At 41.1% G+C, this 21,390-nt stretch overlaps 1 protein-coding gene and 1 long non-coding RNA gene across 36 annotated transcripts in view, besides 2 other annotated features; one reads left to right on the top strand and one right to left on the bottom strand.

Annotated features, from left to right (window-relative positions):
• Window positions 1–21,390, bottom strand: part of ARHGAP26 (Rho GTPase activating protein 26) — a 458,635-nt gene that overhangs the window by 93,397 nt on the left and 343,848 nt on the right. For all 35 annotated transcript variants that reach the window (NR_146198.2, XR_007058592.1, XR_007058593.1 and 32 more), the window contains 2 exons: window positions 14,468–14,627; window positions 1,510–1,648 (listed from right to left, as the gene is read on the bottom strand). Coding sequence is in view for 32 of the 35 variants with exons in the window: in NM_015071.6 (NP_055886.1) it covers window positions 1,510–1,648; window positions 14,468–14,627 (299 nt within the window). In the remaining 3 variants the exon portion in view is untranslated. The remainder of the gene's footprint in view (window positions 1–1,509; window positions 1,649–14,467; window positions 14,628–21,390) is intronic.
• Window positions 531–640: a silencer, noted in NCBI's record as "silent region_16478". NCBI's record gives its function as "represses an Ori minimal core promoter by ATAC-STARR-seq in GM12878 lymphoblastoid cells {active_cell/tissue: GM12878}" and the evidence as "EXISTENCE:reporter gene assay evidence [ECO:0000049][PMID:35858748]".
• LOC124901098 (uncharacterized) lies at window positions 10,043–13,088 on the top strand. The gene is made up of 2 exons (XR_007058980.1): window positions 10,043–12,645; window positions 12,968–13,088. It is a non-coding gene; the product is annotated as an uncharacterized LOC124901098 (long non-coding RNA).
• Window positions 20,826–20,895: an enhancer, noted in NCBI's record as "active region_23327". NCBI's record gives its function as "activates an Ori minimal core promoter by ATAC-STARR-seq in GM12878 lymphoblastoid cells {active_cell/tissue: GM12878}" and the evidence as "EXISTENCE:reporter gene assay evidence [ECO:0000049][PMID:35858748]".

Below are 21,390 nucleotides of genomic sequence, written 5' to 3'. Positions count from 1 at the left end.
CTTGAAGTGCAGTAAGGGTTTTGGGATGGGGAAGGTTTGCTTTTAGAAGTTATGGTAAGGAAGGCCACTACTTTAGAAATACAAGGGGATTAAATAAGCACCTTTTTGGTGACAAAAAGAAAGATACCAATCCAGATATGAAGCCTCTCCTCTTCAAGGCAAAGTAGCTCACTGTCCTGCCTCTGTCCCTTTACTGTACCTCACAGAAACGAGTTATAATAATGATGATGATGGCAATACCTGTGCCATTACCACCCAGCATTTACTGAGCACTGACTCTGCTCCTGGCAACATTTGAAGGGCCTTAATCCTCAGAACAACCCCATGAAATAGAAAGCATCAACCCTATTTTGCAGAAAAGGAGAATGGGGCCCTGAGATATTAGGTAACTTCCCAAGCCACTCACTGCTGATGAGCAGCAGAGGCAGAATCACACCCAGACGACCTGGGGCCAGAGTGTGTTTAACCACTGTGTTCTGCTACCTCTCTCAATGTGTATATCTCTAATGAAGCAGCTGTGATGCTGACTCACATTTGTAGTCACTTGTCTACCTTCCTTACTCAGTTTTGAACTCCTTAAAGCCAAGGTCCCATGCTTATATTCCCAGTCCCTGGTAGGTGTCGTGTAAACGTCAGCTGCATGAATGAACCATCCTTGGTTATCTGTGTGTGATTAAACGGTAACCAATAATGGTAGTAGCTGCTCTCAGTAATTGGCCCTTGCCATGTCCCAGGCCTTATGCCAGATGCTGAAATGCATAATTTCATTTAATTCGCATAACTTCCTATGAGTGGGTCCTATTATCCCTATTTTACAGATGAGCAAATGGAGGCTCTCTTAGAGCAAAGGCTGAAACAATACTGTATATTTTAGGGGTCAGTACCTGATCATTGCAAAGAACTCAGAAATCCTGAGATGAAAAACGGATGTGATATAATTGTGGTGATAACACACTGGTATTTGGAACAAGTAAGGTATTGTTCCCTAATTAATTCACTAATGAATTTCAAATATTTTTAGGTGTCGACTCCATGCCAGGCACCATGAAAGGTGGAGTAAAAGATCAAGCCGTACAAGGTCCCACCCTCACAGAGTCACATTCTAGTAGGGCATGTGACTCACACTAATGGGTATTTCATTACAACCGAGAAAAGGAAAGGACACTGGATCTATGGGAATTGCTAACAAAAGGGGAGCTTAAGAAGCAGTGCCTGAGCTCAGCTCTTATTGTGTAGGAGCAGGAGGAAAAGAGACTCAGCTGTTTGTCCACAGGTGATCTGGAAAGAGAATCCTCAATGGCAGCCCTTCTCTTTCATTCTCAATAATATTGCTTCCTGTCCTATCAGGGTTACTCAGCAAAGGCACTTGGGAGGGCACAATGATACAGTCTTCAAGGACACAAAAAGCCAGTAGCACACAGAGAAAAGCTGGAAGTGTCCACCCTGAGCCGTGCAGGTAGCATGGGATGTCCCTGAATGCCACGCTGGCCCTATGCAGCAAAGACTCACGTTTCTCTGTTGACTGAACGGTGTGGAAGAGCGTCAGGGGCCTCTCGCTGCAGGACGGGGGCTTGGAGTCACTGCTCTTCTTCCGAGACAGGTGCAGCTGGGCATTGGTGAGAGGCATATCGGGCACGGTGTTAAATATCTGCAAACGAAGTTTCACAACAAGGTTACTCACATCTGTGGACTGGGAAGAAAACAGGCCTGAAGCAGTACAACGGAAAGCTTGGCAGTGTCTTGGAATTAGCAAGAAAAGATCCGAGAAGACCACTGGCAGTTGTTCAAGACTTCATTTTAAACTTTTCTAGGAAATGGCATTAAACATTCTTGTTTGGAAGCTTATCCCAGAGTTTGATAACCACCCACTTCCATTTCTAACCTCTTCTGCCACAATTTCCACTAAGCGTCTTTTTATTGTTCTCTCCAGGGAAAAAGAAAGCAGCTGTGCTCAATAGAAGCCACTGTCTGTTAACAGCACTTGAAGTTTTTTGACTACCTTTGTCCAGAACCAATGAATCAAAAATTCCTTTATTTTTCTCCATTGGTTCTAAGTTCTTAACAATTACTTCACAACTTTCTTAAACTGTGAAACATGTATTTAAATAACATTTCACAAAGGGTCCCAGGGCAGGGCACCATTTCCCAATCCTCATCAATTGTCCTCAGCTGCAGCATCCTTTTCTAGTTCAGCAGCTCCGTGTTATCTGTGATGCTGAGCTTTTCCTCGTTTATCTTGATAAAAGTAACACACACACACCCACACACGTACTATGGACAATTTGAAAAATGCAGAAAAGTCTCAAGAAGAAAACAAAAAATTATCCCGATTTTACCACCTAGAGATAACCACTGTTAGCATTTAGGTTTTATTTATTTATAAGCTTTTTTTTTGGAGGAGGGGCTTTTATTCTTCTAAAAGTTCATGCTAAAAAATGAGAAGAAAATGATAGAAATCATGACAACTCTCATCTTTATTTCTACAGATAAAAGTATGGCAGACTTTAATAATTATAATAGCTAATACTTATATGGTGCTTACCATGATTATAGTAGCCACCACTTATTGCAGACTCCCTTAGGTACCAGTCGTCACACTGTGTACTTTTCATGTAGCTCACTCAGTTCTCAGCAATCCTGAGCAACAGGTAATGTCCTCAGCATTTTATAATGAAGAACTAAGGCTCAGGGAGGTTCAGTAGCCACAATTGTAGATACAATTTCAGAAGATAACAGTTTTTTTTTTTTTTTTTACCCCAGATTCCTTTTTAAATGGATACAATAATACTGATGCTCATTCATTCAATCAACACACACCTTTTAAGCATCTCTTTTATAGTAGGCACTATGGGTCTAACAGTGAAGGAGGCAAACACGTTCTGTGGTTAGAGAGTCTGCCCTCCTGTAGCTATGGTTTACTGAGTCCTTGCCACACCAGGCACTAAGTTAAATGCTTTGTATGAATTATTCCAGTTAATGTTAACACACACTTTTCATCATTGAAATTATATTCTTTATTCTGTTTGTATCATATAATTTCATCTAACATTATACAGTATTTCCTCATTCATTAAAAAAATCTTCAGACATGATTCTTAATGGCTGCATAACACCCCCACTATATATTGAAAAATCAAAATTTATGGATCCACTCATTACCATCTCTTATTCTTTGAAGTTGGTCTCCTCCCTCCTGAGTTTTCTCCTTCCTAACAGTCTCTGATGTGTCTAGGGCCACCTTTCACCCATGAGTGGCCCTAGACACATCAGTCTTTCTCATGGTCCTCTCTCCTTTTCTGTGTGCATTTAAAAACAGAACTCAAAAGCCGATGTGTAGGAAACAAAATCATAAGAATTATGAGAATTTCAGCCCAAACAGCTGCTCTCCATGGGTTGGCGGGTCCTCGGGCTCCAATGATGCCAGCCAGCTGGTTAAATCAGTCTCACTCCGAAACACAGCTGTCTGAAAACAGCAGTATCATATCTTCCCTAGAGGACTGAAAATTTTCAACAAGATAAACTGAATCACTACACGTAGCTGAGTTCAACTGGGGCAAGGGAATAAGAAGAGAAGGAAACCAAGTAAAAGCAAGAAAAAACTCCTAACTTCCCGAGCAGCTGGAACCCCAAAAAACAAGTTTACCAGTGCTATAAACATCTCTAGTCTCTTACTGAGCCTCTATAATAGAAAGAAAAGCTCAAGGACTGCAACCTCTAAGAAGCTTTCTCCCTACTGTTTATTTTGGCCATCCCCTGGTGACAACCTCACTGTGTACCATTATCATTGACATTTAAAAATGGCTACTATGTATGAGTTTTGCACCTACCAGGCACTATGCTAGGCAGATGCATCCCATGATGCATCTCTAAGCTGGAGGCCAACAGCATAGCAAGTTGGATGACTATCTTACAATGCCACACAGCTAAGCAGGAGAGTGACCAGGAGTGAAGTCCCAGGGCTGCAGCAGCCATTCATTTGGCTAATCTCCAGGCAATCTTCACTACAAAAGCTGGTGTCCCAAACATACAAGGATGTGTTTCAACCTAACAGTGTCTTCTAGTACCTTTCTGCCTCTGGCCTCAGTTACAGCACCTTCAGCAATCCCTAGCTAAGAGCATTTGAAAATGAATTCAGAGTTAGCGATAGGCCTGGTTCTCATTATTTTCCCTCTCATCCTGCTTTGCCTCTGGCCTCCAAATTTTGTCTCTTTTTTTTCTAATGAGTTACTGAAAATGAGACCCTTACCCAATTACAATGGGAGCAAAAATAACATGGACTTCAATTTCAACTGTCAACAAAAATGTGAGCTTTTACTATTTCCTGAGAACTGTAGTAAATGCTGGAGAAACAAAAAAGAGTAACTGGTGAGGAAGGACCATGGCTTTAGACAGATGCGTGAAAAATTGCTTCCAAGACAATATTTATATACAGCAGAGCAGGAAGAGACATGGTAACAAACAAGGGAGAAGTTCACTCTGCTCATCAGCTGTTTCCTCTAAAATAATTAAGTTATTCAAGCATAAGAGAATCAGCTCTACAAGGAGATTTTTGCCATGGGCAAGAGCCATAGTCCCAAGGGTCAGTTCCCTGGGTCTCATTGTGAGCCAGGACCAGGCTCCTGAAGACCGCTGATAGGGCTATTCTCAGGATCAAATGAGATAATGTGCAAGGAAGCACACTGCAAAATGTCCAGTGCCAGACATGTGATTATCATAATTACTATTACACATTCTTCCAAGGTACAGGGTGCTTTTGCAAATTAGATCAAGTCAGGGCAGACGACACAAACTTTCATTAATGACTCTGGAAAATCATTCCCCAAGTGACTGTTGTTTATTTAACTCTGACACTTGAACACATGCAAATTGTTTAAAGCCTGCTGACTGTCTGGCCACGGGTTTGCCTCTATGCTAAAGGCTCGAGTTGGGATTCTAATGAGAATCTGAATTATTCACAACTTTGTTGGTTATTCCAATCCTATTTCATTTTGGAAGGGATGATTTCAAGAGAATCAAATGAAGTTTTCTTCAGTCTGTAGAGAAGAATCACTGTGCAAACAACCCTGCTGAATGACGGAAGCAGGAGCTCATATAACCTATGAGCCATGGATTTATGGAGCTCTACCATGTGGCTGGAACAATCTACTCATTTCACAGAGACTTTCCAAATTAACACAAAAGGGGGAGATTTATTTTCTGCCCCAAGTGCCCTGTTAATACTGTCCAAACTCACAAAGTAATTCCGACTTAGTCAGGAATGTCTTAGAGATAAAAGTAAGGAAGACTGTAAGCCTTCTGGAAGCTATTGGGGAATAAAATTGTAAAACAAAAATATAACTCTGGGTAACTCTTCTAAGTATCCCCAATTTCAAGCTTCCTGTAAGTGGAATTAGCAGATCCATAAATACCAAGCTACTGTTTCGCCTTAAGCTGCAAGTCACAGTGGTCAGGGATGGTTTGGCCTCTGCAGTCAGACAAACCTGGGCTGATCTTGGTTCTGCTTCTCATTCAGTGGGCAGCAACACCTACAGCTACACGGACCTCACCATCACTGACGCTGACATCACTGCCATATCATCACATCAAATACAGGAAAGGAACTTAAGATCATCATACAGGTACAAAGCAAACAGGCTTTGGAGCTAGACAGAGTAGGGTTCAAATCCTGACTTTGCTACCTACTAGCTATGTAATCTCAGTCAAGATAATTAACCCTTCTGAGTCTGTTTCCCTTGTGCAAGCAAGGATCTAATACCTGCCTTGCAGAGCTACTGAAAAGACAATGCACATAAAATGCTCAGTGCAGTATGTGGCAAAGAGTAGGCATGAGATGGTGGTGGTATAAATGACAATAAAAACAGAATTTGAGCACTTATCATGCTCAGTTATTTACATGGATTATCTACATGGATTATTTTACTCACAATAACCATGTAAGGGAGGTACTATTATTCTTGCCCTCTTGAGATGAGAAAACTGAGACTCCTTGAGATTCACTGATTTGTCCAAGGTCACATAGATAAGGAGTGCAGCTGGACTGGGACCTAGATGGCTTGACTGTCTGGGTCTTAAGCACTTGTGGTCTTTATAGCTACTATTAATTTGAGAGACAGAGGACAAAATGGGAAGACATAAGTTTTGGAGTCTGGCGGATCTGATTTTAGTCACTTACTAGCGCTGTGACCTTGGGCAAATTATGTAACTCTCTGACCTTCAGAGACCTTATCTGTAAAAAGTCCCAGGACTGTGGTGAGGACTGACACGCCTAATACAGTTTGACATTCAGTGTTCAAAAGATATTACTGTAGTCAATAAAAAAGGAGACACACAAGAAGGGAAATAACTGGAGATTCAACAATGGATTATTTGCAGTCAGGACATGAGGATTTAATTTATAAGTGTAAATATAATTACTGTTCTTTGCAAAACATTGATCTTAACTGTTTACAGCAATGACAGAATTTCCTGTTCTTATTCCCTTGCACTGTCTACAAAATTTAAATTTCACTGATTCCCCCTCTGGCCCATCTTGACATTGCAGAGCATTGACACTTGTGGAATCTGTTCTTATCCATGTCACATACACATTTTTAGACCTTCTTCAATCCCATCTGTCACATGCGCCTGCAATTTAAAAGGATTAGGAGTCTCCCTGTAATGTGTGTGGTGTACTCTTTATTATGTGCTGTGATTTTTATGGGAGGGAAATTAGGTCATGACGAAGAGCTCCTAGTCTACAACTGCAAAGTAGCTCTGAGACAATAAATCAACAGCAGAGGCCTGGGGATTACAAAGCAAAACAGAAAGGTTTATACGAGAAATGAGACTGAGCATTTTCTCGAGACACAAATGTACCAGGGTCCCTAGTAATGTGGGATTGGTTTGTTTGACGCATTAGGAAAGTAGACCTACAACAGTTGAGCACAGCTCACTCCTTCTCATGACAGACAATGGGACCGAGGACTGCGTGGTGCTCTCAGAGAAGCCATAAACCCAGCACCTTCACAGTGGAAGCCAGGCAAGTCTTAGCAGGGCTTATGTATTGTAACTGTTAAGAAGCCAAATTCAGAGGCTGTAACTGCAGAGGTTTTTTAAGGACAGTTGGAAGTCCTATGTCCTGTTGATATCAGCATTTTGGCAGAGGGATCAACAATTTAGAAAGTAGTTTGGGTAGTTGTATTAAAAATCTCTCAAAAGGAACCAATTACATTAGTAACTGAGGGTATATATAGACAGCTTGGGTAATCCATGGAGAGCTGTGATTTTCCATATCTCCAGAAAGATTCTATTTCCTGTTCTCTTTGCTGACAAAGATGGATAGATTAAAATACAACAACAATCTCCACCTTTATTTGAGTAATATTAAAGGAGCTTCACAATTCAAACAATTATTGGTTTATCTGGGATTTATTGGGGGGAATATATGTGTTCAAATGCACAACCTACCTTATCACATTAATGAAGAGTATCTTACACAGCACTTGTCACTAAAAAAAGAAAATAGCCCTGTGGCAGAAGCATTCTAGCTCAACACCCAAGTAAATCTAGCTTGCTTCTGAACCCTAACAAGGAGAGGAACAAAAAGAGTACAAGCAAGAACCATTGGAAGGGAAGTCAACAAAAAATTTAAAAATAAAAATTGATGAACAAATTACAAAAGCCATGACCACAGGACAAGATTAGCTTCCTGAGCAGGCAAGAGTACCAATGACTATTTCAACATAGTGAAGCATCCAGTCATACCTTTTTATTAATTTTGCATATCAACAACTGTTTGAAATATCAAAGAAATAAAATGCGACTTCTAAACACCTGTCAGTTGCCAAACCAACTATATTAACTAATGTACATTTTGTGCACAAAGTCCAGAACTAGTCCAATGGATTTCAATGTCACCAATATTTTGGTAAAAGCAGATCAAGGCAGATTGGTGGCCCAAATCAACTCAAATTGAGCTAACTACATTGTAAGTCACTAGCATTTTATTGGGAATGCGAGGTTGCTTAGGATTTAGTGCTTAGTCCAGGTGTTAAGTGGGGGTCATCCATGATTGCTAGCTCCTCTCCTTGACATCTGAGGTTGAAAGTTAACACATTAAAAAGGGGCACCGATCTTTGGGGATTTCTGAGAATTAACAGCTCAATGATCAACACTCCCACCTCTTCCAAAGCTAACTGATGGACTAGGGAAGGAATTATTATAACTTATTTTGTCAAACATTAATAGGCATCAAAAGAGGCAATGCTGGCAAAAGCCTGTGGTACATAACACATGAACACACACATATCCTGCTCCATGTACAGAAACCGTTTCGAGTGCCACAGCCACAAGACACAGCATGGATTGTTACAGAACAAGTGCAATCCTACTATTATGTGTTGGAATTTAATAGCAAGGGGACACACACACACATACACTAAGTAGCCTGAAATTTCATGTTGAACCAAAACTATGAAAAGCAAGCAGTTTGTTTTCTTGATATGGTTGTCCTTCTTAAACATCTAAAATTGTCATAGTCATTAGCAAGTAAGCGTTTAAAACACTAAGTAAAGGGAAAACCTTGTAATAAATATAATTTCTGGGCTTTGAGATCTTGGACCATGACAGCATTCAATATTTTGTTTGAAAATCTTAGCTGGAAGCATAAAAATATTGGTTGCTTTAACCATAACCTTAAGTTTTTGCCTACTTTATGTTTTAAGACTCAGTGTGATAAGGTGTGAGTTTGGAGAAAAGATTCTGTTCATACGGAAATGGTAATTTTGCATAACTGACTGCTACCTTAACATAGCGTGGGAAGAGCCAAAATCTTTGCCATCTGAGCTTTCAACTCAGAAACTTGACTGTAGCTAAAAAGAGCTACACCATCAAATCTACTCTTTAGTTCTCATATAATTCAAGGAGAGTCCACGGTAAGGAGTCACTAATAGGAAATGATGCTATGAGCTAGTATTTCCCCTTAGGAAGTCTGGCAAAAAGAAACAAATTAAGAATCTCTCTCTAACCTCCAAGCAAAGCCTGTAGGTCAAAGGTGACACTATCTGAGCTGCAAGTTTAGAACAGTATGGTTAACTCTATTGTGTTATTTGTTTAATGTGTGATTTTGATGTCAGCAATCAAAGTACTATTTGGTTCAGCTTCCAAGGATGTCTTTCTAAAGTGCTGACATAATCATTTTAGCCTCCACTTGGAAACTTCTGAGAGCTCCCAGTTTTCAGAAGTCAGTTCAAAACCTTTTCCTATAGTTTTCAGGACCCTTAGCAAATGGACTGAATCCAACTCTCTGGCATCATCACCCACTACTTGCTAACAACCCACAGTCTTTCACAACCATGCCATTTTAATACAAACAACTTGATTAATGCTGCTCCTCTGAGTGGCTGTCCCTCCTATCTCTACTCTTTCTCTGCCTAGAAAACTTCCATTGATCTGTCAGAGCCCAATGCCAGTAGAATTAAATTATTTATCCTCAGTGATGCCATAACACTTTATTCATCTTACTGGAGGTCATTTAGCACACTGTATTATAGTTAGTTCTATCTTGATAAAATGGGAGTGCCTTGAAAAATGAAGGACCTATTTTACTTATCTTTGGCTAATGGTAGATATTCAATAAAATGCTTACTGCACTGAAAAGAGATTAACTAGAGTAGATTTTAATAGCTTGGGTTCTGAGAGTAGTACTAAGTTCAACCCCTGTTCCTCTCCTAATCAGCTGCTTCTTAAAGTGTCTGCACTTCAGGCTTATAATTTGTAAAAACAGAGCTAAAAATATCAATTTTATAGGGTTGCTGTGAAAATTGAATGATGGATATAAAGCTGCTTAGCACAATATCTTGTAAACAATAAGCTGTAAGTAAAAGTTAGCTATTACTATCATCATTATTATTTCTGGACTGTATTCATTTAAAGGATTCATTAATTTTAATTGAGTAAACAATCAGTATGTATTACCAACATGGAAAAAGAAAAATTTCCATGAGCCCCCAAACATAATATCATATCTCCTAGCTGTTTTCCTCTCTGTCTCCTCCTAATCTAGGATATTTATTTCCCAGAATTGTGCCAAACACTGCTTCCCTCCCAGGTCCGTGAGAGAGGTGGAGGACAGAAGTTCTGGACCATTGTGACAGGGTAAGCATGTCGTTAGTGCACTCTATCTGACCAAACACAAGTTGTGTGTGAAACACATCACTATGGCTCCCAGGAGGAAGATATAGATGGATTCTCTGGGTTGGGGGGAGAGGGTGTTTCTAGACTTGCAGGTACTATCTTGAGGATGTGTGGGTGTGAGTGACAAAATAAAGGAGATCATGTTCACTATTAACCCTCAGCTGAATGTCTAATGTTAACCCTTGGAAAACAACAGAAAGACAGGTAGGCAAAGAGAGAAAAGATTGTATGCCTTAGCTAGTTAGAACACAGAGGTCTCTTACCTTCTATTGAAAAAGAGGTGTTTTACCAGGTTAAAGAAACTGAATTACCCACTTCTCTTTCCTTTTTCTTTAATGCCAATCTTAAAAATGTTTTTCCAATTTTAGATATTTATGAGTTGGTTCTCCATACCAAGGCTCACAAAGGGCATTTAAGGGCTGAAATTGTCACTACCACCAGATGCCTGAGGCTCCTGGTTGAATAAAAAATGGCAATGCAGAGAGGAGGCGGAAAAGCACTCTCCATAAAAACACTGGGTTGCTACCCATGCTCAGCACAAACCACTGATAAGAAAGCAGAGTCATTCCTAAAGGGAACTAAATGCAAACTTGCTGGGTACCATAGATCCCCTGCAGAGATAACGGTCAACAATCCTCCCACGCCTGTGTGCACACACTGCTCCTCCCACCCAGAGGTGGCATCTAGCTCCCCCTGCCTTGAATCTGGCTGGACTTGTGACTTGCTTTGGCCAACAGAATGTGACAGAAATGATACTTTGCTCCAGGCCTAAGCCTTAACAGCCCTTGCTGCTTCTGTGTTTGCCCTCTTGGAACTTGGGGCTGGACTCCTGAATGATGGGACAGCACCTGGAAAGAGGGGGGTCTTGTGGCAGAGGATCAAGGCATTCTGGTCAACACCTAGTACCAAAGTCCCAGCTGTGTGGAGTGAGGCCACCTTGGACCCTCCAGTCCCAGTCAAACCAACCCAGCTGATACCACAAGGGGCACACATAAGCCCTTCTCAAATTTCTGACTCACAGAATTGAGAGTAATAAAATAATTGCTATTTTAAGTCACTAGGTTTGGAGATGATTTGCTATATAGCAATAGAAAATTAAAACATCTCATGGCTCTCTTCGTCTCTCCGTCAATGGAGTGGCTCCAATGGCTAGATGCCTAGGTTTCCACACCTTCTTTTCAGTGCTATGTTCCATTTATTCCTAGAGCCCTCCTAATGATTATTCCGAAGCACAAAGTAAATACCTTATATAAGATGTTAACAACATGAGAGAATACTGTGCTAGTCGCTATGGGGGGTATATACTTTAGCCCTGTAGTAGGGCTTGTTTCAAGCAAACTTGTTTCACATGAAAAGGTGCTGCTGGAAAGCATTTCTTCAAATAGGGTTTCAGGATTTTGTCTAACTTTTGACACTAAGACTAGACAGAAGAAGAGTCACCCCTAGACATTGTGTGTTTGTGTGTGTGTGTGTGTGTTTCTATTACAGAAAATTAAAGCCAAGTCTAAGGAAATGGTTGGTAAGTATTAACTAAGACCTTAAATACTATGAAGTTTTATGTTCTAAAACATTTTATTTATTTATTTTAGATGCAGGATCTCACTGTCACCCAGGTTGGAGTGCAGTGGTGCAATCATAGCTCACTGTAACCTTGAACTCCTGGGCTCAAGTGATCCTCCCACCTCAGCCTCCCATAGCTAGGGCTTTAGGCATGTGCCACCATATCCAGCTGATTTTTCATTTTTATTTTTTGTAGAGATGGGGGTCTTGCTATTTTGCCCAGGCTGGTTTCAAACTCTTGGCTTCAAATGATCCTCCCACCTTAGCCTCCCAAAACACTGGGATTACGGGTGTGAACCACTGTGCCTGGCCAACATTGTGGATTTTAAAGAGTAAGTCTCCGACAACATCCTTCTGAGGACATAAAATTGCTCTGGATTTGATGGTTAAAGTTAAGTTCTATTGGCAGGGAGTTTATACAAAGTGTTATCTCCAGAAAGCCAGAGGCCAGAGCACAGCCACGGATGCTTAGAATTGCTGTGAGTTGAACACCACAGACTTCCAAAAAAGACTGAGGGAGCATCTCCTTACTTCATACCAGGCTAGGCCTGAAGCTACAGTGAAAAAGGAGTCAAGATGGCTTATTCCAATTGCTCTCACAAAGACGACAAACCCTATGAATATGAAGGATGACCTTCCCAGAGTAATGTACATGTTCTGTTCTCAGAAGTCAAATACCATGACTTTGGCAATATTCTATTGATCACATAGGCTAGCTCTATTCAGAGGTGGAGGGGGCTACACAAGGGAATGAACACTGGTGGACAGGATCACTGGGAGCCATTTTGGAGGCTGGCTGTCACATTCACCCAAAACCAATGTACTAGTGCCTACTGAGGAACAAAACACAACGTCCCTGCTTTCCTGAAGCACACATGCTTGAAGAGGTCAGAAAGCCAATGGATCTAATCAGTAAGTAAATTTTATTACATGCCCTATAATTTGTGAAGTCCTATGTGTTAAATAAAATTGATAGGAGGCCACTGGTTTGGACTGAGCTCCTGCCCTAGGCTCAAGAGACCAAATCAAAATGCAGTTACTTCTGCTGAAGTTCTATGCCATCAAGCCAAAAATAAGTTGTTTGTCTGACCTTCCAATAAATGAGGGGAGAGATAACAGGCAAATCCCCAAACAGGCCAGTTTTAGTCAGCACTGAAGGAAGTCCCCTCTGCTTTAACTTTTACAAGGAAAGTAACTTCAAAACAATTAATCTGCTTTTTGTTCTCTTCTTTAGCCCTTTTCTGTCTATAAAGCCAACCTCCTCTGCTCAGCTCCTGGAATATTCATTCTATTTTACAGAATGAGGTGTTGCCCAATTCTAGAATCGCAAATAAAAGTCAATTAACATCTTTAAACTAAACTTGTTGTGATTTTGTCTTTTGATATGAAAACAGACTAAGTGGAATAAAAGGAAAAGGGAATGCAGGAAGTTGGGATTATAATTTTAAACAGAGAGATCTAGGTAGGCTTCACTTAGTACACTTGAAGGAAGGGAGAAGTATGCCATGTGGTTTTATGGAAGAACAGTGTTCCAACCACTGGGAACAGCAACTGCGAAGGCCTTGAAGTAGGAATGTGCCTGTGGTGTCCAAGAAACAGCAAGGCAGAAACAAGATGGCTATAGGAGAGATGCAGGAGACGAGATCAGGTAGTAACAGTAAAAGGACAGAGACTATGTGGGCAAATGTATGAAATGGGAAGCCACTGGATAATTCTTAGGAGAAAACTGATACCATCTGGCTTAACATTAAAAAAAATCTCATTCTGGTGGCTGGTATCAGAATTGTCAGGCCAAGGGTACAAGAAAGAAACAAATTAGGAGGCTCTTGTAAAAAGTCAGACAAGAGGTAGTGGTGGCTTACAACATTATCAGTGTACGTGGTGAGGCATGGTCAGATTCTGGATTTATTGTGCATGATTAATTTGCCATTCTAGGCAAAGTTTTTATTTAAGAGAAACAGCATTTTTTATTAGATTCCAGATTTGTTGCTGCCAAATGGTGCTTTAGGGAACCCTGCACAAGTTCTGAGAAGCTTCATATGGATTTGCTCATAAGAGCAATGAAGTGGGTGAGAGGACTGCAGCTTTATGTCCCCTCCCCAGTTTTACAAGGGCAGCTCTGCGTTAATATTCTTCAAATTGGGGGATGAGGAAAACCTTCGAAAGAAAGACTAGGAACCCCAATTCCCCAAAAGAAAAGACAGACCATAAAGACACGCGCACACAAACGGTACAAAAAATACAACACCATTTATAAAACTGAAAGACAAACTATAGGTCAAAATATTTGCAACACAAATGAAGAAAGTTTAATATCCCTAAAATTTAAAAAACTCATAAATTCATAAGAAAACAATCAAGTAAGAAATGGGCAAAGCATGTTTCCAAAATGAGGTTCATAAGAGTACTTCCTTCATTGAATTGTTGTGAGGATAAAATAACAATATACATATAAAGTATTTAACACAGTTCCTGGCACATAATGCTCAATCAATTTTACCCACCACTGCCACCACCATAACCATGGCTGTTGTCATTGTAACTACCACGGTTGACACCTTTACCACCAACCTTACATTATCATCACCACCATCACTACCACCACCAGCAACTTCATCGTCATGACAGTGTAAGAGTGATTAGCAATGCAAATCTGAGCCAACTCTGAAGGTCAATTCCAATGCAGCTTCCCCCCAGGTACATTCTTCACTGCAAGTGATCAATTACATATTACCTTTTCGTGGTTTTCTATTAGGATCTCAATGACAATGTTCTGAAATTTGATGTCCATGATGGCTGCTACTGTTTCTTCCTGAGGCCTCAGCAGAGTGGGTCCAAACACCACACCAAGGTTTGCCACCGTCATCAAATTCTGCTTGTGGTTGTTAGCAACACTGGGAGGAAGGAAAAGAAAAGGTACCAATGAGACAAATCGTGTACACAGAGATACCAACCACCCTGTATCCTTCCTATCTTCCTATTTATAGACTCCTCATCTGTAGGAGCCAGAACTTGGGTCATCGTCAGATGCCACAGGAGTCAGAAAATCTACCACATTTCAGAAATCTTCAGCATCCAGGCTATTTTGCTATTTCAGGATATGACACGCTTTATCATTTCCATTTTGCCTAGAACAACCAACCAACCAAAGCAACTATCTGCCAAATTACTAACCTTTGAACATCTGAATCCCTGTTTTGCAAGTCCAGGTAACTGCTAATCCCTCTTAATTACAATTTATGTACTTGGCAGCTGCTTAAACTGCAATCGTTAGCATTTTTCTCCATGGCAAATGTAAAACCTCTTGATGGCTTTAATACATTTGCAAACATAAGCATTAAATAGACATAATTTTTTAAATGGGCAGATCTGGATATTTAAAACCAAGTAAGGAAATTCAGCACTTTAGATGTAAAGTATTAAAGGCCGATCAGATTAAACATATGGCTCACATTAAGTGAAACAGGGCATAAACAGAAATAAAAATGCACTAGTGTATATTCATCTATATGGCTGTGTTTATATTGTCACTTACACTCAAAGTCTAACAAACACACAGGGTCAACAGTCGCTGACCCTGTGAGTAATTTGCTAAAGACGTAGGCATATTTTTGAATAAACAACTACTCAAAAGATGTATCTGAACTCCATACCCAGGCCACCAGGACCTAGCTATAAAACTCGATTGTTCACTTGCTGGCCCCATGTATAAAAACATATAAATCATCTACTTGGCAACAAATAAGTTAAAAGTTAATGCCATTCAGTTTTGTTGAGACAATATCAAGAGCTTCCCTAAATCACCTGTTACAAGAAGGAAGCTATTCATTACTAACTTGAAACTAGAGACAAATTGGGTAGAGATAGGCAGTTTGCACAGACCTACCTCCCTAGCATTTAGTGCTATTTATATGGAGTATTTTTTCACACAATTCTATAAATGCCTGCAGTGTTTCTCACTGTTTCTCTGGTCCACTTTTTTTTTTTTTAAGGAAGAAAAGAGATTATACTGCCTTAAGCGCTGGTTTTTAAACTGAGCCTTTATTGAAATACCATATCAACCAATTTTATTAGCAGATGTGTACTTTTCTATAATTTTTTTAGGGCTGAGTTTAACTTCCTCCTCTAAAGGTGGGCAGAGCATGGTTAGGTTTATGAAACTTTAACTGTGGCACAGCCCAGTTAGAAAGAGGATTTGCTTTTTGATTGCTAAGCAACACCTGCAGCAGGGAGAGTGGCCTGTTTCTGGTCCACATAAAGAATATTTTACAAACATTTTCTTAGTTCTTGCTGAGTCTCCTGGTTTTACTTATGTTTTCCATTCTACCCAGAATTACATCACATTTCCAGTTTGACAAAGTTAATGCAGATGGTCAAATTCTGACCTGGCAAGGGGGAGAGACTTCGGTTCTGTGCCTCAGTCAATCAGCAAGTATGCATATTTACAAGCTGCTTTTAACATCACTACTTTCAACATCAGCTCCTCTGTGTGGCAAGGAAATTCTATGTCCTTATACTTCCCCTCCCAAAAGAGCTAAGTCATTAAACTTAGCCTCTTGTCACAAAAGTCCCGTGTGCAAGTGAATCAACAAGCTATTTTTTTATGAAAGTACCTTCAAATTGTAGACCAATATAAAAATACACGGTTTGGATGATGATCATTTTTCCCCGTCAGGCTTCTCCACACTACATCTGACTAAAGTAACAGCCTCCTAACTAGGGTTCCTGACCCAAGAACCTCTAATTTCAGCTTTATCCTCCCTGCTATCAGCAGTTCCACCTAAAACTCAGCTCTCACACCTCCCCTGGGGAGAACACAATGGCATGGCACATGTGAATGTTTAGCAGTGCTTTTATTGTTTAATTGTTCTGATAATGACGACTGTAAACCTGTAGTGGGCCCCACTGTTTTTCTTTCTTCTTTCTTTTTTTTTTTTTATTATTATACTTTTAAGTTTTAGGGTACATGTGCACAATGTGCAGGTTTGTTACATATGTATACATGTGCCATGCTGGTGTGCTGCACCCATTAACTCGTCATTTAGCATTAGGTGTATCTCCTAATGCTATCCCTCCCCCCTCTCCCCACCCCACAACAGTCCCCGGTGTGTGATCAAGGCCTTTCTCTGTCATCCAGGCTGGAGTGCAGTGGCATGATCATAGATCACTGCACCCTCACACTCCTGGGCTCAAGAGAGCTTTCTGCCTCAGCCTCCTGAGTAGCTAGGACTACAGGCATGCGCCACCACACCTGGCTAGTTTTTAAATTTTTCCGTAGAGACAGAGTCTTGCTATGTTGCCTAGGCTGGTCTTGAACTCCTGGTCTCAAGTGATTCTCCCAGCTTGGCCTCCCAAAGTGCTGGAATTATAGGCGTGAGCCACTGTGCCTGGCCTGCCCGACTATTTTTAACACAAAGACTGAACTCTTATAAAACAGCATACCTTTCCTCAAATCACCACTAGGCCTGCCTGTGCCACCTCCCAGCTCTGGGTGTCTGGGCAGAGTGACTCAATCTTTCTAAGCTTTGGGTTCCTCATCTTCAAAAAAAAGAAGAAGTTGGGTGAATAACATACCTACTTCATGTGAATGTTGTACAGATTAAATGTGAGAATGCATGGGATATGTGGTAATTATCATACTAATTCACTTTTCACTCTCATTCCACTTCCACACCTCTCTGCCTTTGTCCATATCATTCCTCTGCCTGAAATGTTCTTCTGCTGCTTTCTTTGCTTGGCAAACTGTTAATATGCAAGGCTCAGCTCAAATGGCCCATTCCTTTCTGTACTTTCCTTTCACCTTTCTCCAATCCTCTATACCCAGTGAAGGCAGAAGTGTTGGCCTGCTCCTGCATTTATTACACAGTGTTGTCATCCCTACCAAGGCCTGAGAAGAGGAAGTATGGTATTTTATTTGGTAGCACCAGTGCTAAGCACACTGCTTGGCACAGGAGGTGCACAATGAGCTTTCACTAAGGCAATAAAAGATGAGGAGAGTTTCTGAGTAGGCCTAAAACAATTATTCCCAACCCAGCTACTTACTCATTAAACTTCAAATGATTTTTGGGGAATGTATCTCAACTATCCCAACCTCCCTTATCAAAGTCTTCAGCTATGTTCCATTTCTTAGACTTAATTAATGAGTAATAATTACTCTGATTTGCAGGCCCCAGTGCCCAAAGGCATTTGGAAAAAAGGTATATTAATTCTGGATTAGCAACTCTGAATATAAATAAGCTTGAGGTTACCCAGCATAATTCATTTCCCTTTTAATGATCCATGTTATTTTAGAACTTAAAAGACACATTGATCTAAGTCTTAGGAAACTTTTTTTTGGGTGGGAAGAGTTACACCTTTCATTATTAATGACCATTATCTTTCGGCACACTGAAGTAATAAATTGATCCATCACTTGATTATTACTGCTCACAACTTGGTACAGCTATGTTCATTACTCCAGAATGAATTATTAATGGCTTGAGATCTCTATGTATCCCGGACAGAAAGGCCTAGACGTCAGCCTCTGCAGGCACCAGCCATCCATTATAGCTCGATGAATTTACAGATGCATGGGAAACAGGCTGGCAGAGCACTGCGGAGCCGGTCCAGCAGAGGCCACGGGACTCGTTCATTAGCAAGGTCTATAAAACACAGAGAACCTGCTCTTTTGTCAAATTGAGCTGTCTGAGTTCCTCCTCACATGGCTCAGAATGTCATGTTGAGTCTTGACTTAAAATCTACACAGAGAAGCTTCTTGTACACTTCATGTTGCAGTGAAGGAGTCTTTGACACATGCTTTTCAGATCCCTACATCCACGTGGACTACTCTGCTGTGGCGTCTTTTGAAAGAACTGCCAATTCTACAGGCTTCCTTTGGCTGCTGCAGAGAAACAGTTTTGCATGTGATATTCACTTGGGAGAGATCCAGTTTCTTCTGTGATCATCAGAATGGCTGCATCCACTGAGAAGCAGTGGATCTCCCGAGGGGCATGACTTCAGGGCAGTTGTTGGGGGTAGGGAGGTATAGGTACCCCATGTTTCAGGCAGTTCCCGCATGAACTGGATTCAATGAGGAAAGAGCATGTTCCATGAAAATGGCCTTGGCAGAGGGGCCTCTTGCCACCTTTGCTTTAAGAGGAAATAGATGGAGACTCTGTTTTGGTCTGATGTCCTTTGAGAGGCAGAAGGAGGTAAATCACTTCCAGATAAAGATGGTGGTGGGGATGGTGGCAGAGGGAGCATTATGATGGGAATAGCAGTAGCCAACCCTTGTAGGGCTTGTAAGGCAGAGACCCCCAGGCTGTCATAGGGATCACATCTGTTTTCCTAGAGTTTAAATGAGAGCCAGAGCTCTATAAGTGCTAAGCAGTACTTTAAAACACCAGACTGGTCCTAAAGTATTCCAACAATACATAAGCTTATTGTAGGGTTTGGAGATAAGTTTCATCTTGAGGCCTAGAGTGTTATGTTGAAAAATGTCAAAGAGGAGTACTGGCTCCACTGGATACAATGTAGTGACAGATTCACAATGTACCATGGGTTGGATGGGTGGAGCAACAGCTCATCCCACTTATCCACCATCCCTTCCTTGTTTGCTTCACCTTCCAATATTAAACAGGAACTTAGGCTTACAGAGCATTTTAGACTTTTTAAAAAAGCTCTACAACAACTTTTTACATTTATCTGACCTATATAATAACTCTATAATAGTAGCGCTCAAACTTTCTGACAATGACCCAAGGTAGGAAGTATATTTTACCAAGCAATACACACATACATAAACAGACAGGCACACACCCCCACACTATATCAGAAACAAAAGTTTTCAGGAATAGTAAGTATGACACACTCTGATATTTCTATTCCCATCTTATCCTGTCGATTCTATTTTTATCCAATAAATTGTTTTCATGAGCCACTTATATGCCGTGAACTACTATTTGAGAAATACTGCTATAGAGGTATAAAGTGCAAATATTCTCTCCAATTTGCAAATTTGGACAATAAAGCTAAGGGAGATCATAGCACAGTAGTTGGAATAAGACAGACATTAACAGCTGGATGGCAGCAGGCAAGTCACCTGGCCTCTCTAAACCTGTTTCCTCACATATAAAATGGGAGCAATAATATGTAGCTTGTAGCTTGTAAACTTGAAAGGCTGATTAAGTATGATTCTGCAAGTAAATCCCTTAGCATGAAATAATGGCTTAATAAATGACATCTGCTCTTGTCATGGTGGCTGTCGAGGTAGTGCTGATGAAAGTGGTAGCAGTAGCAGCAACTGCCAATTTAAAGCCACACTGTTAGTTGGTAGTTTCGCTTGGTATCCTGCCCAGGAACCCCTAGTGGCCTGCTTCTGCTTGGGGCAAGAGGTTGCATCTTCTCCACTTATGTTTCAAAGACTTCTGTACCCTACCTATTTGTATTTCTCCTCTTTTCATTCTTTGGTGTAAAAAAAAAATATGAAATACTTTGAATCTATAGAAAACCCCAAATCATAATAGTACGTCTTTTCTTTCTTTCGTTTTTTGTTGTTGTTGTTGTTTTTGAGATTAAGTTTCACTCTTGTCGTGCAGGCTGGAGTGCAATGGCGTGATCTTGGCTCACTGCAACCTCCGCCTCCTGGGTTCAAGCAATTCTCCCACCTCAGCCTCCGGAGTAGCTGGGATTACAGGTGCATACCACCATGCCTGGCTAACTTTTGTATTTTTAGCAGAGACGGGGTTTCATCATATTGGCCAGGCTCCTCTCGAACTCCTGACCTCAGGTGATCCACCTGCCTCAGCCTCCCAAAGTGCTGGAATTACAGGCATAAGCCACTACACCTGGCTATAGTACTTATTTTCTATCACTTCCCTATAAGTACTTCTGGCACAACAGGCTGAGAGCCTCACATGGAGCCAAAGCAAAGCCACCAAACTCACTCTGCCTTCATGACACCAACAACATCATGCCCCTAGCCTGCCCAGCAAGTTCTCCCCCACCATACAAAGCCCACCACCCTACAAAGAACAGTTCTGAGCACTCCACTGACCATTGGAGGCCATACCAAGCTTTTTCCTCTAAGAGATACGTCACGGTCAATCCCATGGGACATTTCTACACCAGCTGCTCCCCTGTTCACAAATACCTTAGGACTAGGGGCTGGATCATGACCTTGGAATGCATCTTCTGCAGAACACAGGCAGGTGCTGGGGTAGGCCTGAGATGACCAATTCTGAAAGTATTATAGGTAAGTGGGTGGGTAACTAAGCTGCAGTCAATATCACCCTTCTCTCTACTACCCTCTCAGAGAAGCTCCAAGCTCTAGGGCTGAAGAGGATTAGCTGGAAATGAAGCTGCTGGAACAACACTTTTTTGTGGCTAACCAGACAAGTTTAGTTTCCAGGGCTGTTAATTTGGTTCTTTTCACCAGCCTTAAATCTATCCTTAGTATATAACAGAGGATGGCGGGGGGAATCCTCACTGCCACTCACTGCATGTTTTCTACCAAGTCAGACTCTGTGTTGCCTGAATACTACCTGGACTCGGTGAGGCAGGACTGCTCCAAACAGCGCTGAGGAGGCCTCTGTCGAGAACACCCGTCAGGGCCATGAACACAGCTTGCAGGACTGCCCCAATGGTGGCACCAGAATGAGGGTGTCAGATACATCGTTC

The sequence above is a fragment of the Homo sapiens genome, chromosome 5, assembly GCF_000001405.40.
Source record: "Homo sapiens chromosome 5, GRCh38.p14 Primary Assembly".
In the NCBI taxonomy this organism is placed as follows: domain Eukaryota; kingdom Metazoa; phylum Chordata; class Mammalia; order Primates; family Hominidae; genus Homo; species Homo sapiens.
The sequence above is the reverse complement of the archived record's forward strand: the minus strand, read 5'-3'. Positions and strand labels throughout refer to the sequence as shown.